General features: G+C 43.0%; 1 long non-coding RNA gene across 1 annotated transcript in view, besides 1 other annotated feature; it reads right to left on the bottom strand.

Annotated features, from left to right (window-relative positions):
• LOC105378657 (uncharacterized) overlaps positions 1-15,317 on the bottom strand; it is a 203,343-nt gene that overhangs the window by 52,478 nt on the left and 135,548 nt on the right. The gene's annotated exons all lie outside the window — the stretch shown is intronic.
• Positions 9,096-9,614: an enhancer, noted in NCBI's record as "H3K4me1 hESC enhancer chr1:38827443-38827961 (GRCh37/hg19 assembly coordinates)". NCBI's record gives its function as "activates a minimal SCP1, AML or CMV promoter by ChIP-STARR-seq in naive H9 embryonic stem cells {active_cell/tissue: H9 hESC(naive)}" and the evidence as "EXISTENCE:reporter gene assay evidence [ECO:0000049][PMID:30033119]".

Below are 15,317 nucleotides of genomic sequence, written 5' to 3' on the forward strand. Positions count from 1 at the left end.
TCTGCTTTACTCAACATCCACCAATTTAAATGTTGATCAGTGCTCTTCCATCTGCCTAGAGTGTCCACAGACTAATCACCTGGTGGTGAAAATTTACAGGCTTGGGCTTCTGTGTGAGGACCCCATATTAGTACATTCTCGTACTGCTATAAAGAAATACTTGAGACTGTGTAATTTGTAAAGAAAAGAGGCTTAACTGGTTCACAGTTCTGTACAGGAAGCATAGCAGCGTCTGCTCGTCTTCAGGGAAGGCCTCAGAAACTTACAATCATGGCAGAAGGCAAAGGGGACACAGGCACCTCTTAGGTGGCTGGAGCAGGAGGAAGGGGGTGGGGAGGTGCTACACACTTTTAAACAACCGAACTCCTGACAACTCTATCACAAGAACAGCACTAGGGGGATGGTGTTGACTCATGAGAAACCACCGCCAGGATCCAATCACCTCCCACCAGGCCCCACCTCCAACACTGGGAATTGTAATTCGACATGAGATTTGGGCAGGAGCACACAGCCAAACCATACCAGCCCCCGTTCCCCCACAGCCACTCTTGCCACAGGCAGCTCTGACCAATGCACATGGTTCCAAGAGTTGGCCTTTTACAGAATTTTTTCCTATGTCTATCCCTCAAATCAGCACCCAACACTGCAGAGTCATGACTCTGGGGATGAGCTCTCTGCTACCTTCACAGAGCAGGAGACCTTAACCCCAGAGCCGGAGACCACGGAAGAGAAGCAGCTTCCCCTGAAATCATAGGCAGGATTTGAGCGTGACAGGATGTGCAGTTTTCTAGGGAGAGGGGCCACAGTTTTCATCAGATTCTGAAGTGGGTCTATGAACCCCAAACACACCACAAGGCAACATGTCATCCCTTCAGTCCTTGGCCCTCATTGATCTTGTTTTCTGGTTATTTATCCAAAAAGTTCAGACAATCATGTGACCTGGTGGTGCCATGATGAACCAAATGCCGCCTCATCTTAGTTGGGAGAGGCTCCTGTCTGCTGTTTTTTGAGAAATGTAATTGTCTAGAAGATCCAGAGCGTTTCTTCTGAGTAGCTCTGCCACTCAGACCCACATACGTTATGTGGGGGCTTATACATGGAGGCCCTGGGAGGGAGGCATGGCCCGACTCCACTCCAGATGCTCACAGTCCCCCTGGTCGTGCCCTCTATTAGAGCACCCCTTGGCCTTTCTCCTGGAATTGGAAAGGATCAGGATGAAGGCTGAAGCTTAGATTTTTGAGCAGAGGTAATTTCAGAAGGTGGAATCATAGCTTAAGAAACTCTCTGGGGATTTTTCCTGATGCAAAGCTAACAAGACATTGTGATAATTTCTCTGGAGCTGGCCTCATTCCAAGTTGGATTTTAAACGCAGATTATAAAGCAAACACCATCCCCCACAAGTATTAAAGGAGGGGAAAATAACAGAACGGGGGCTGCAAAAATGGTCTCTATTGTGGGACCAAAAGCCGTCAATCATGTAGGCTGACAGGCGTCAGAGATTGACAGACAGGCCCTCGCTCCTGACTTCAGTTATCAAGGGGAATGGGAAAAGTGTCTGCAAGAACATGTTAAATTGCCAAAGTCATTACCAGTCACCAATTACCAAAGAAAAGATAACAAGGTGTATTTTAGAAAAATCGATGCAACAACATGCATTTCAATACAGTGAATTTTTTAGAACTTTCAAAAACGAAACGAACTATTTAGGGAATACACAATGGTTTTCAGTGAATACCAAACACTGGGCTTTGTAAAGTCATCAATATTCACTTTAGATTTGGCTCTGCTTTAGGGGAGCAGAGATCAAGCAGTAAACTAATATACTTCATTTTTTCCCCCTGCAGTTCCACCCAAAGGACAAAATGATAACTGGAGGACCAGCTGGTTTTCCTGTAAACTTCTTCAAAGAAAGACCCAGCTGGTCACTGAGGGCACCTTCTGGGGCCCTGGGCATGGACAGGGCACAGGTCAAGTAGGTGATGGTGTGATGATGAGAGGGGTGCATTTGTCCCAGGAGGTCCTTCCACACGACCCAGCACAACTTCCTAATCATCTCCTCTGCGCCCTCCCCTGGGCTGGCCCCTGGGGATGGAGACATTGAAGGACACAGTGCCTGCCCTATTGGGCCCTGAAGTCTGGGGTGGCAAAAGGAGGCGCATGAAGCCAACAGATTATAGGACAATGCAGACTCATAATAGTTACCAACAAGAATGAATGATGTGCAACAGGAATGGGAGAGTCTGCTGCAGCCTGGAAGCATCAGAGGAGGCCAGAGAGAGAAGGGAGCATGGCAGCCCATTCTTCAAAAATGAGGACATCTTTCGCTGGAGATGCAAACGCCTGAAAAGGAGGATGGTGCAACTTCGAAGTGGGAGAGTGCAGGGAGATGACAATGATAGGACAGGAGTGAGCTCTACTATGGTAAGCCTTAAATGACAGGCTGGGATGTTGGCCATCTTGTGGGCCATGGGAAGCCATTGAAAGTTCTTGAGCAGGGTTGTGAAACAGCCAGAGTTAGGCAATGGGAAGCCAGCTCTGGCAACAATGCAGTGCATGGACAGAAGGATGAAACTTTGGAGGGCTGTTGGAGCACATCCTGTGGAAGGGGCTGAAGTCCTGCACTTGGGTGGAGCATGGGGAAGTCCCAGTGGGCTGCTATCATACTGCATCCATGAGGCTCTCCCTGGTCTCTGCCTTCTGATCTTCTGCTCAGATACCATGTCTTCATGCTGCCTCTCTCATCTACTGTTAGAACAGTTCCCTCCTTCTTGCAGCCTCCAAGGCTCTCTATTGAACGGCCCGTGTGATATGAGCTGCACTCAGTTGCCCCAGTAGTCCAGGTCAGCAACCTTGCAACCTTCTGCAAGGTTGCAATTCTGCAAGGACAGCAACCTTGTCACATGCCTCTCTGGGTTCCTTCAGCACACAGTGCAGCTCCCCTCCCAACAGAGAGAAAAGGATTGATATGGTTTGGCTATGTGTCCCCACCCAAATCTCATCTTGTGCTCCCATGATTCCCACATGTTGTGGGAGGGACCCGGTGAGAGATGATTGAATTATAAGGGTGGGTCTTCCCCCATGCTGTTCTCAGGATAGTGAATGGTTCTCACAAGATCTGATGGTTTTCTTTTTTCTTTTTCTTTTTTTTGAGATGGCGTTTCAGTCTTTTTGCCCAGGCTGGAGTGCAATGGTGCGATCTCGGCTCACTGAAACCTCTGCCTCCCGGGTTCAACCGATTCTCCTTCCTCAGCCTCCCAAGTAGCTGGGATTACAGACATGTGCCACATGCCCAGCTAACTTTGTAAATATTTTTAGTAGAGACGGGGTTTCTCGTAGAGACGGGGCTTCTCCACGTTCGTCAGGCTGGTCTCGAGCTCCCGACCTCAGGTGATCTGCCTGCCTTGGCCTCCCAAAATGCTGGGATTACAAGCGTGAGCCACTGCACCCGGTCAGATCTGATGGTTTTAAAAACAGGAGTTGCCCTGCACAAGCTGTCTCTTTGCCTGCTGCCATCCATGTAAAAGGTGACTTCCTCCTCCTTGTCTTCTGCCATGATTGTGAGGCCTCCTCAGCCAGGTAGAACTGTAAGTCCAATAAACCTCTTTCTTTTGTAAATTACCCAGTCTCAGGTATATCTTTATCAGCAACATGAAAACGGATTAATACAAGGATAAACAGCAAAACCCTGAGTGGGGCAAGCATTTCATGGTAGTGCTCAAGAAATACCAGAACTGTCACGCATTTGCCCAGTGGACCACTCATTTTCAGCTTGGATCCAAGTTGCCAGAAGGATCTAATGTGATTGGATAAAAGAAGGCTTAGAAACCCTTCCTAGTTCTGCAGTATGACCAGGATTTTGAGGCTAAGAGTGCTTAGAAAGAAAGAAAGGGGTTCTGGGCCTCAAAAAGGGAAAGTAATAGGCATGAGGTGGAGACATTTGTCATCAGCATTAGAGGAAAGCAAGCCCTTTTCCATATGATTGGTAGGTGGCATGACCATATCATCAATTGTTCAAACAGGGACACGTTTGAGGGTGAAAGGGGCATCGTGTATAGTTTCTACATGATGGCAGGCTTTAATTGGGATGGTCCCTGAGAAAGTGTAATGTGTGGTCACCATAATGATAGACACTGCTGCTGACTCATCTCCCTGCTCCCCACCATGACCTCCTTATATTTTGTAGGTGATGGGAATATCCACTCTTGACCTTTCCCCATCCCTCATATGCTCCTCCCTCTCCCTAGGACTTAACTGGCAGGCGAATTTGGAACGAGGATGGAGTATGGCTCAGCCTCTTTTAGTTCTCTCTGTCTTTTGGGGCAGCTGTCCTCAGCATTCAGGCATTCTCTCTTCTTCCACGTAGTCTACTTAAGGGGAATGTCTGTCTTTGTGGAAAAGGCCAAGGTTGTCTAGTTGGACAGTGCTTGGGTGGAGAGAGAACTGTTAGGGAGCCTGGCGTGACCACTGACCTAAACCTTTAATTAGCCTCAGTGAAGACGGACCTGATAGTTTCAGTTCTGTCTGATTCCAGTATCTCCTTTTCAGTTGATTCTATACTCAGAGCAGAGTGTGGCTATCATTCCCCCAAACCCAAAATCATCCTAAGCAGAGGCTGGGAATTTTCAGAGTTAAAAAGCCTGTCTACAATGAAGTGGTGTACCAGCACAGGCCAGCATGAGGCCAGGACTGAGAACACACCAGTAGAACTTGAGAAACACAAGAAAAAGAAAAATCTGGGCTGATTTATCCATGTGTGTGTATCTGGATGTGAGTTTTCACCAGTTTGTTTTGGGAAGGATATGGAAATTAATGATCAGAACTCCACAATACATATATATTTTAAAAATAAATTTCATTTCATTGAGGTCATAAATTACATGCCATAAAAGGAACCAATTTGAGTTTTGACGAATGTATACACCTTTGTAACTACCACATCAATCAACATATAGAGCATTTCCATCTCTCCAAAAAGTGTCCTGTGCCCCTTCTCTGCTCCTTCCCCCAAAATTTCCCCCTCCAGGGAACCGCTGATGTGATTTCCATCATTATAGGTTAATTTAATCTGTTCCAGAACTACATGCACATGGATTTATACAGTATGTTTTATCTTTTATCTGATTCATCTGTGTTGTACCATGTATTGGTAGTTCTTTTTTCACTGCTGAATGGTGTTCCATTGCATGAGTGTATCACAATTTATCCATGCACTCGTTGATGAACATCTGACGGGTTTCCTGTTTTAAGCTATTTTGAATAAAGCTGCTATAAACATTTGTGTACAAGCCTTTCTGTGGCCATATGTTTTTCTTGGATAAATACCTAGGTATTGCTAGGTCATACAATAACTGTATGTTTTTCTGTGGACGGTGGTACATGCATGTAATCCCAGCTATTCAGGAGGCTGAGGCAAGGAGGATTGCTTGAGCCCAGGAATTTGAGGCTGTAGTGAGCTGTGATCACGCAATTGCACTCTAGCCTGGGCAACAGAGCAAGATCCTGTCACTAAAAATTTTTTTAAGTGTATGTTTAAATTCATTAAAAAAAACTGCACAACTATTTATAAAGTAACATTGTACACCCTCCACCAGAAATTGTGTGAGTTCCAGTTCCTCAACATACTCACTAACATTTGGTATTGTCTATTTTAAAAAATTTAAGTCATTGTAGTGGGTATGAGCACTACTACTTCATTGAGGTTTTAATTTGCATTTCCTTGGTGACTAATGATGTTAAACGTCTTTTAATGGTCTTATTGGCCATGTGTATATCTTCTTTTGTGAAATGTCTGATCAAACATTTCACCCGTTTTTAAATTGGTTTGTTTGTCTTAGGTTGTAAGAGCTCTTTAAATATTCTGGATCAAAGTCCTTTGTACTTTTGTGTTTTGTTTTGTAGTTTATAGTTTTAGGTTATATGTTTAGGTCTATGGTCCATTCAAGTTAATTTTTCTGTATGGTGTGAGGTAGGTGTCAAGGTTTATTTTTTTCCCATAAGGATACCCAGTTGTTCCATCACCATTTGTTGGAAAGGCTATCCTTTTCCCTACTGAATCATTCTGCACATTCATCAAATATCAACTGAACATATATGTATAGGTCTATTTCTTGACTCTGTTCTGTTCCATTGACTTAGCTGTATATCCTTATATGAATACCACATTGTCTGAATACCACCATTAACTTTACAATAAGTCTTAAAATCAGCTAGAGTAAGTCCTCCAGCTTTAGAATACCATACTATATATCATTTGTGATTGTTGGAAACAAATGTGCTTGAATTAAATGTATAATAAATTGTATACATTATCCTTTCTTGGTGTGGGTTGTTCAATCACTCTCAATCAATACATTTGTGGTCTTCAGAGAATCCTGAGTTAAAGTACTCATTTGGGTTTTGCAATAAATAAAGATCTGGACTGGTGGAGTCCTTGCCATAGCGATCATGATTCTGGTTGCAACCCAGACAACTAACCTCCCTTACAGGACGTTGCTCTTTAATAAAGTGAGTTCCTGTCTGGGTTTGCTCCTCCTGCCACTGGCACATACAAGGCATCAACACATCTGCTGTCTGGTTTCTCCAGCTGTGGTGTGATGGAAAGAATTCTAGACCAGCTAGTTGCAGAGTGCCCTTCTCTGACCTTCACCATAGAGCTGCTTGTGATTTTCACAAATGGCTTGAAAAGGCCTAAATTAAAGAGCCACGTTCAGGGCTCGCAGAAGGCCCAACTGCTGGGTTGGTCCAACCTTCAGTGAATCTGAGGGTTCCCAGCCAAGAGCCCCCCTCAGGTGGGGTCTGCCACCCACCCAGAAATGAGACACATCCTAAATCCTCATCAGAGCCTGAACCTGAGTCAGGCATTAGCTGGAAACCCAAACAGTATCATTCCATTCTAAAGGGACTCTTTTCCCAAACTGCAATTTGACTTCAACACTCCCGTAATTCTTGTTTCCCTGTAGCCAGTGTGTTTAGCTTAGCTTTCAACTTGTTCTGCAGTGTACATCGGGAATCAAAAGATCTGGGTTCAGGTTCTGGCTCTGACACCTACTAATAGAGTGACCTTGGGTAAAACACTTTACATTTCTGAGAGTCTAGTTTTCACCTTATGGAATAAAGATTCTAACATCTTCCTCACAGAGCTACTGTATGTGTATGGAAGTGTTTTATCAATATAAATCACAGTGCAATAATCCATATAAAGGATGATTATTATTATTTCTCCTTTTAGACAAAATATAGCTAACAGAGAGCATGAGGAACGTCAGTGGTTCCTATAGGGGAAAAGGTGTGTGTATTAGTTTGCTATGGCTGCTGTAACAAACTACCACAAACTTGGCTTGAAACAACGAAAGTGTAGGATCTCACAATTCTGGAAGCAAGAAGTCCGAAATCAGTTTCACTGGGCTGAAGTCAAGGTGTAGGCAGGATCATGCTTCCTTCTGAGGCTCCAGGGTAGAATCTACTCCTGTTCTCTTCCAGGCGCTTGTGGCTGCCTGCCTTCCTTGAGCTTGTGGCCTTATCGCACTTCTGCTTCCATCTTACTATCACCTTCCCTTCTTCTGTGTCTACTTTTCCTCTGCCTCTTTCCCAAAAGGATATTTGTGACAGCATTTAGAGCCCATCTGGATAATCTATTATAATTGCTTCATCTCAAGATCCTTCACTTAATCACATCTGCAAAAACACACAGGTTTATCATATCGGTGGCATTCACAGTTCAAGGATGAGGCTCTGATATTTTTGGAGGTCATTTATCCTGCTATTGTGTGTGTCTGTGTGTGCGTGCATGCACATATGTGTGTTGATGGGTGTGATACAGAACAGGAAAGAAAAGCACATCCCCTTTAATTCAGTCTAAATGTCCCTTGTGAAAGTTTGCCTCTGAAGTCTTCCCTACACCTCCTGTGGAAGAATAGCCTTTTTATAGATTCCTAGAACATCAGAGTTGCCTGGGCTTTTATGATTCCCCTAACCCAGGGGTTAGCTAACTACAGTCCCATGGGCCAAATCTGGTTCCTGCCTGTCTTGCCAAGTTGTATAGTTTTGACAGAGACCGTTTGACTAACAAAGCCTAAAATAGTTATGATCTGGCCCTTCAGAAAAAGTGTGCTGTCTGTAGGCCTAGACCAATGCCTCCACCATACAGATGGGGAAACTGAGGCCCAGGGGTGCAGGTGACCTGCTCAAGCTCTCACAATGACTTGGGAATGGATTTCAGAACTGTGAGTCCAGTGCTCTTGCCCAACATGGACCTTTCCCAGGGTTCTCCTCTGCCAGAACTTGCCCTTCTTTGGGCATGTGGATGACTGGAGCCCAGTGCCTGTCAGATTCCAGCAGGTGTCAGCCTCCTCTCTGGAAAACCTGTTAGCAGGGGCTGCAAGCAGACACTGGAGGTTCAAGCAGATGCTGGATCACTTCTCAGTGAGTATCTGCTGTGCCTGACATAGTGCCTGCTGAATAAGTGAATGGGTAATGGGATGAATAAATGATGTAGTCCAGGTGGTTTGAGGGACCTGCGCTGACATGGGCTGACCAGCCTTTAGAGAACACAGGAAGTCTCAAGCTGGTGCAGTGGAGAGGATCACAGAGACAGTCCCAGCATTCAAATCTCTGGCCTGAGGCTATTATGGGGGCATAACCCCCAACTCACCACCTCCCAGGAGGCCACAGGAAAACTTGGAGTTTGCAGAAGCAGCTGAGCTGGTGAAGTCCACTGGCAACTCTCAGAGAGGTGGGGAGGGACTGTGGGGCCTTTAATGATGACTAATTTACAGCCTATTAATGCGGTGGTAATTAAGAATATTCATTTTATTAAAAGCCGTTTACTGTAATAGTGCATGCAAATCTGGAGAGTGGCATTGTGCTCACGTACCAATCAACATAGGTCTATTGTGGCTCTGTGGATGGCAGGTCGCTGCGTCACTAATTGTTAAGAGTTTAGGGTCTAATTTTAAACCCTTTTAATTCCATTTGAAATAATTGCCCTAATGAAATTCAAAGTACTCAGAGGCAGCCATGGAAAAAGTGGATGGTGCCCCCGCCTCGAGCCCCCAGGGAGCTGGGCTTTGAGAGCCGTGGCAGGGGCTGAGCTTGTCCTGGGGCTACGCTGGCTGCTCTCTTCCCATAAGAGGAAGCCAGCCCCAGTGAAGGGTGGGAAGCTTCCTCCAGGGCCAGGCCCCTGTCTGCAGTGCTAACAGCAGCTGAGGCTGAGGAGGAGTCAGTCTGGGTGGAGAGGGACCACAGGAAGAGGATGCTGTCTAAGTCATTTCTGTAAGCCACACAGGGATAGAATCTACAGAGAGGAGAGGGGAGCCCCTGTCCAAAGACCAATGTTTTTAGCTCCAATGGCATTGTGGCCTTAATTGGCAGAGCAGCTGAACTCAGGGATCAATATAACAAAACTCTTTCTGATGGCTTCCTGCATGCCAGGTGCTCTCCCAAGCATTATCTCACTTAATCCTCACAGCCTCACAGCACCCTTAGAGGTGGATTGCATGATTTCTCCATTTTACCAATGAAGGAACTGAGGCTGAGAGAGGACCAGTATCTTTTCAAAAGTCAGACAGGTTAAGTGGCAGAGCCAGACTTGAGCCAAGGCTTTTCCATCTGTCTTCTCAGAGTTTATCTGTCCAGTCTACAACATTCTGTAGAGGTGGGTCTGAAGTCAGCCTTGAGCAACTCAGGTGCAATGCTCATTCCTTTATGCCAGTGGTTCTGAGCCTGACTGGAGACCACAATCACCTGGGAGGCTTTGTAAGAACAGATTCCTGAGCCTCACTCCAGATTCATGGAATCAGGATCTTTAGGGACTAGGGCCTGAGAATCATTATCTATTACATGCTGCCCATGTGATTCTGATGGGGCTAGTCCATGGATTGGCTTGGGAACTCTTGCCACAGGCTGGTCTCTATTTTTTGTCCCCAGTGCCATGTTATATTAGTTCATTCTCTTGCTGCTAATAAAGACATACCTGAGACTGCATAATTTATAAAGGAAAGAGGTTCAATTGACTCACAACTCCACATGGCTGGGGAAGCCTCACAATCATGGCAGAAGGTAAAGGAGGAGCAAAGGCACATTTTACATGGAGGCAGGCAGAAAAGCATGTACAGGGAAACTGCTCTTAATAAAACCATCAGATCTCATGAGATGTATTCACTATCACCAAAACAGCACGGGAAAAACCTGCTCCCATGATTTAATTACCTTCCACTGGGTCCCTCTCATGACACATGGGGATTATGGAAGCTACAATTCAAGATGAGATTTGGGTGGGGACACAGCCAAACCATATCATAAATCTAGTCCATGGCGTGTAAAAGGTGCTAAGAGCCTGTTGAATGCAGCTCATCATCAGAGGTCTACATCTTCTGCTGAGTGCTAGTGTAGCTTAATGAACAAAGTGTTCTGGAAGCAGAATCATGAGAAACTATCTTGAATGAAAGCAGAGGTGAGTCTATTGAAGCCACCAGAGAAATAACTTTTGCTCAAAGGGTAAGTAGGATCTTGGCAGGCGGGAGAGCAGAGGAAGAGCATAAGAGAGAAAGGGAACAGTAGCATGAGCAAAGACTCAGAAGCTTGAAAGTCTGGCATCTGGCACACAGACCCTAAGATGATCCCTATGATCCCTGCCTTCTGGTGTTCATGCCTGAGTGTGAGTGGGACCTGTGACTTGTTTCTGACCAATAAATTATGGCAAAGATGATATGCCACTTCTGTGATGACATTACTTTCCAAAGACTCCATCTTGCTAGCAGTCTTGCTCTCGCTCTCTCCCACTGGCTTTGAAAAGGCAAGCATCTGTGTTGTGCACTGTCTGTAAAGAGACCCACGTGGCAAAGAACTGTAGGTGGTTTGTAGGAGTTGAGAGCCTCAGCCCTTCAGCTTCAAGGAACTGATGTCTGCCAACAGACTGGGTGAGCCTTAGAGAGGACCCTTCCCTACTCCAACCTCAAGATGAGAATGCAGCACAGCCAACACCTTGGTTGCAGCCTGTTGAGACCTTGAGGCAGAGAACCCAGCTAAGCCAGGCCTGGACTCTTGACCTACAGAAACTGAGATAATAAACTATGCTTTTCTTGTTTGTTTTCTGTTTTTGTAGGGACAGGGTCTCACTATGTTACCCAGGCTGATCTCGAACTTCTGGGCTCAAGCAATCCTCCTACCTCGGCCTCCCAAAGTGCTGGGATTACAGATGTGAGCCACTGTGCCCAGCTGTATGTTGTTTGAAGTTGCTAAATTTGTGGCCATTTGTTACTTAGCAATAAAAAATGAATACAACATTTGGGCTCAGAAAATGTCCCCAGATGTGGTGTGTTGACATGCTAAAAGGAAGAAGCAGCCTCAGGGTTTCTCTTTGACCTTCTGCTGCCTCCCTGTCTCTCTGATTCTCTTTTTTTCCTCAAAGAACTAGGAGAGGGCTTTCTCTGGAAGTTCCCTTATCTGACTAAGAAAACTTCTTCCAAAATAAATGTAATTGTCTTAAAACTCTCTTCTTAGGGCTCTCATTAAATAACCAGGAAAGGTTAACCACCAGAGAAGAGAAGAGACTGGGAGTTGTCACCATGCTCAGACAGACTTTTCATCTATTTTTCTGAGGGCCATGCTGAGAGATTACCTGGGAGACTGTATCTGCATAATAAGACAACCTTTGTTCACAATGCAGCTCTTCCCCTCACCTTTCTGTAACTAGTCCACAAGCTATTATTTGTCCTTTAGTCTCATTCAGCATCCAAAGAGAATCATTTACAAACCATTGTCTGGTTTTCAGTTTCATTCCTTTACAACATCCTTCCATTTCCATCCCCTCAATGAAGAGGGTATATACACATCAACCATCTGGCCCTTTTCTAGAGTTTTCATATTTGTGCATATGACTTTTGTGCCTATGTATGCATGTAATACATTTGTTATACTTTCTCTTATTAACCTGCCTTTTGTTACAGGGGTGTCAGTCATGATTCTTTATGATAAGAAGGCAAAAAAATCACTGCCTTTCTTTCCCTACAAGCATCTACAAAGAATGGCAAGAAAAGCAGAGTAGCTAGGATGGTCTTCAATCTTTTTGCTTATCTAACACATCTCTCATCAGAAACTGTGGCTGTTGATAGCAATATAGAAAGTTAGGCTGCAAAGAGAGATAGGGCCTTCAACATGAGCGGCCTTACGAATCATGTAAATAAGCATGGGCTTTCTCCCACAAGATATAAGAGGGATGGAGTTTCAGGATGGGGTGACATGGTTAGATCTGTATTAAAGAAAGATTACTTTGGTGCCCCAGAGCCTAGGATGGGTTAGAGGCAGGGAGACCTGGCAGGCCATTGCAATAAATAGTTCAGGCAAGAGATAGTAAAAGCTTGAACCAAGGGAGAAGCATTGAAGATAAAGAGAAAGGTAACTTGCATTTTGGAGGAAAAGGGGGACCACTGAATAAGATCATATTTCTTCCACTCTCAAAGATTTTCAGGAAAAAAAATATTCTCGCTAATGCCCTCCTTGTGTCCAATACTCTAACAAGGCTGACTTCATTGACTTGGTTTCAAAGATCACCTTATTAGTGATATTGTTATGAAGTGTTTGGGGGTTTCCTTCTTCCCACAAGCACATTGCATGGTATTCTTGCTTTCTTGGGGGCAGCTGTGACTGTTTTCGTTTTATAGAGTCCCAGAGAATGAGGTGAAATCACTCCCATAACATCTTTCTGATCAAATGCCACTTATTATGTCATCTGTCACCTCCCAAGGGATTTAGCATTTCTCCTCTTCTGCAGAGAAGCTATTTAGACCTTAATAAGATCTTGCAGAATGAGTGGTGAGTGCAAAGGCAGAAATCTTGACCCTTCACCATCCATCCATTCTTTCAACATTTTTGACACTAGGTATAAGGAATACCAGAGTTAAGTAAGAAATAACCTTATCCTCAAGGCATTCACAATCTACTGAGAAAGACAGATGAGTAAAGGAAAAATTGCAGCAAAGATTCCTATATTAGAGGCTTAGATTGAATGGTCTGGGATTCCTGAGAAAAAGACTGATATATCGCTCAAGTTGAGAGATTGTCCAAGCAGAGGGTTCAGCTAATGCAAATGCATAGGGACATGAAAAGACACAATACCTCTGGAAATAAACAAACATAGCACAGGATTCAAAGGAGGAAGGGAAGGAGAGTAGTGGGCCTGAGGTAGGAGAACTCAGCATGGTCCAGATCATATAGGGCATTGTGTGTCTAAGAGGCTTGGACCATATTTTGTAGGCAGGGAGACTCACTAAAGAAGAGTAAGCGGGGGAGAAACATGGTCATAGTTTCATCCTAAAAAGTTTATTTTTGTGTGTTGTGATCTTACCTTACTAACTGGGTACTGCTTTGGGTGCTCCTTCTCAGTGAATGAGGCCAAAACTATGAGAGTAATCCAAAACATACTTCTTCCTCCAATCACCAGGCCCTGTCTATGTTACCTCCTTGATATCTCTTAACGTTGTTCACTTCTCTTCCATTCCACTGATGAAGTCTAATTTGTTAGCTTTTATGATTAGTGCTTTCCCCTCTCCTGCTTTGTTGAGGTATAGTTGACAAGTAAAATGATTTGTGTTTTTTATATGCTAAAAAATATTTGCTTACTCCAGTGTTACAAAGATTCTCTCCTGTTTTCTTCTAGATGCTTTATAATTTTAGCTATTACATTTAGATCTATTATTCATTCAAATTAATTTTTGTGCATGGTGTTAGGTAGGAGTTGAAGTTCATCTTTTATCACGTTTATTCTAGCACCATTTGTTGAGAAGACTTTCATTTCCATATTGAATTGCCTTGGTGCTTTTGGTAAAATTCAAATAACTGTATATGTATAGGTATATCTTTCGACTCTATTCTCTTCCATTGACCTAATTGTCTATCCTTATCACCACCCTACACTATCTTGATTACTCTAGTTTTTCAAGCTTTTTATGTCTTAAAATAAGGTAATAACCTCCAACTATGTTCTTTATTTTGATATTATTTGGGCTATTCTAAATCCTTTGCAATATCATACATATATAGTAGAAACAACTTGTCAATTTCATTTTAAAAATCAGCCTATTGAACTTATTATTGGGATTGCATAGTATCTATAGATATTTGGGGGAAAATGGATATTGTAACATTGTAACATTGAGACTTCTAATCCATAAACATGGTACATTTTTTCATTTATTTAGGTCTTCTTTAATTTCTTTAATATTTTGTGATTTTTAAATGTAAAGGTCTTGTACATATTACATTAAATTTATTCCTGAATATTTTATACTTTTATGCTATTATGAATGAAATTTTCTAATTGTTTATCACAAGTAGATACAAATAAAATTGCTTTGTGTATATGGACCTCACATACTAGTGATCTTGCTAAATTAATGCATTAGTTTGCATAGTCTTAAGATTTTATTTCTTAAAACGTTTCTACATAAATAGTCATATCATTGCTGAATAAAGGCAGCTTTAATTCTTTTCCAATATTTATTTCTTTTTCTTCCTTATCGTACTGGCTACAATTTCCAGTGCAATGTTGCATAGAAGTGGTGAGAGCAAACATCTTCGCCTTGTTCTCAGCATGAAGTGGAAAGTGTTCAGTATTTCACCTACTAAATAGGATGTTCACTGTAGGTTGGAGTAGTTGCTGTTGTCATTACTGTTGGTGTTGTTTATGCACCAACAGGACCAGTCGGCTCTTATGTACCAGTCTGCTCTTCATCAGTCTGAGGAAGTTTTCTGTGAGCTGAATGTATGCTGAGTTTCTCAAATGATTTTTCTCCCTTATTTTCGCAATGTGGTAAATTACATTGATTTTCAAATGTTAAATCAACCTTGCATTCCTGGGATAAAACTCACTTGGTTATGATGCAGTATCTTTTTACATATTTCCAGATTCGATTTATAATATTTCATTAAGGATTTTTGAACCCATATCTAGGAAAAATATTAGTATACGACTCTTTTTAATTGTCTGGTTTTGGTATTGAGTTTTGCTGGCTTTATAAAAATTAGTTGGGGGTTGTTTTATCTCTCACTATTTTCTGAAAGAATTTGTGTGAGATTGAGGTTATTTATCTGTAAGTTTAATAGAACTTACCAGTGAAATATTTTTTACGGAAAAGTTTTTTATTACAAATTCAAATTTGTAATCCAGTATTCTAATCCAATATTGTATATAACCCAGGCTTAATCCAATATTCTATTTCTTCTTGTGTCAGTTTTGGAAAGTTGTGTTTGCATGTGTGTGTTTTTAAGGAATTTGTCAATTTCATCTGAGTTGTCAAATTTATTGGCAAAATATTGCCTTA

The sequence above is a fragment of the Homo sapiens genome, chromosome 1, assembly GCF_000001405.40.
Source record: "Homo sapiens chromosome 1, GRCh38.p14 Primary Assembly".
Classification (NCBI taxonomy): domain Eukaryota; kingdom Metazoa; phylum Chordata; class Mammalia; order Primates; family Hominidae; genus Homo; species Homo sapiens.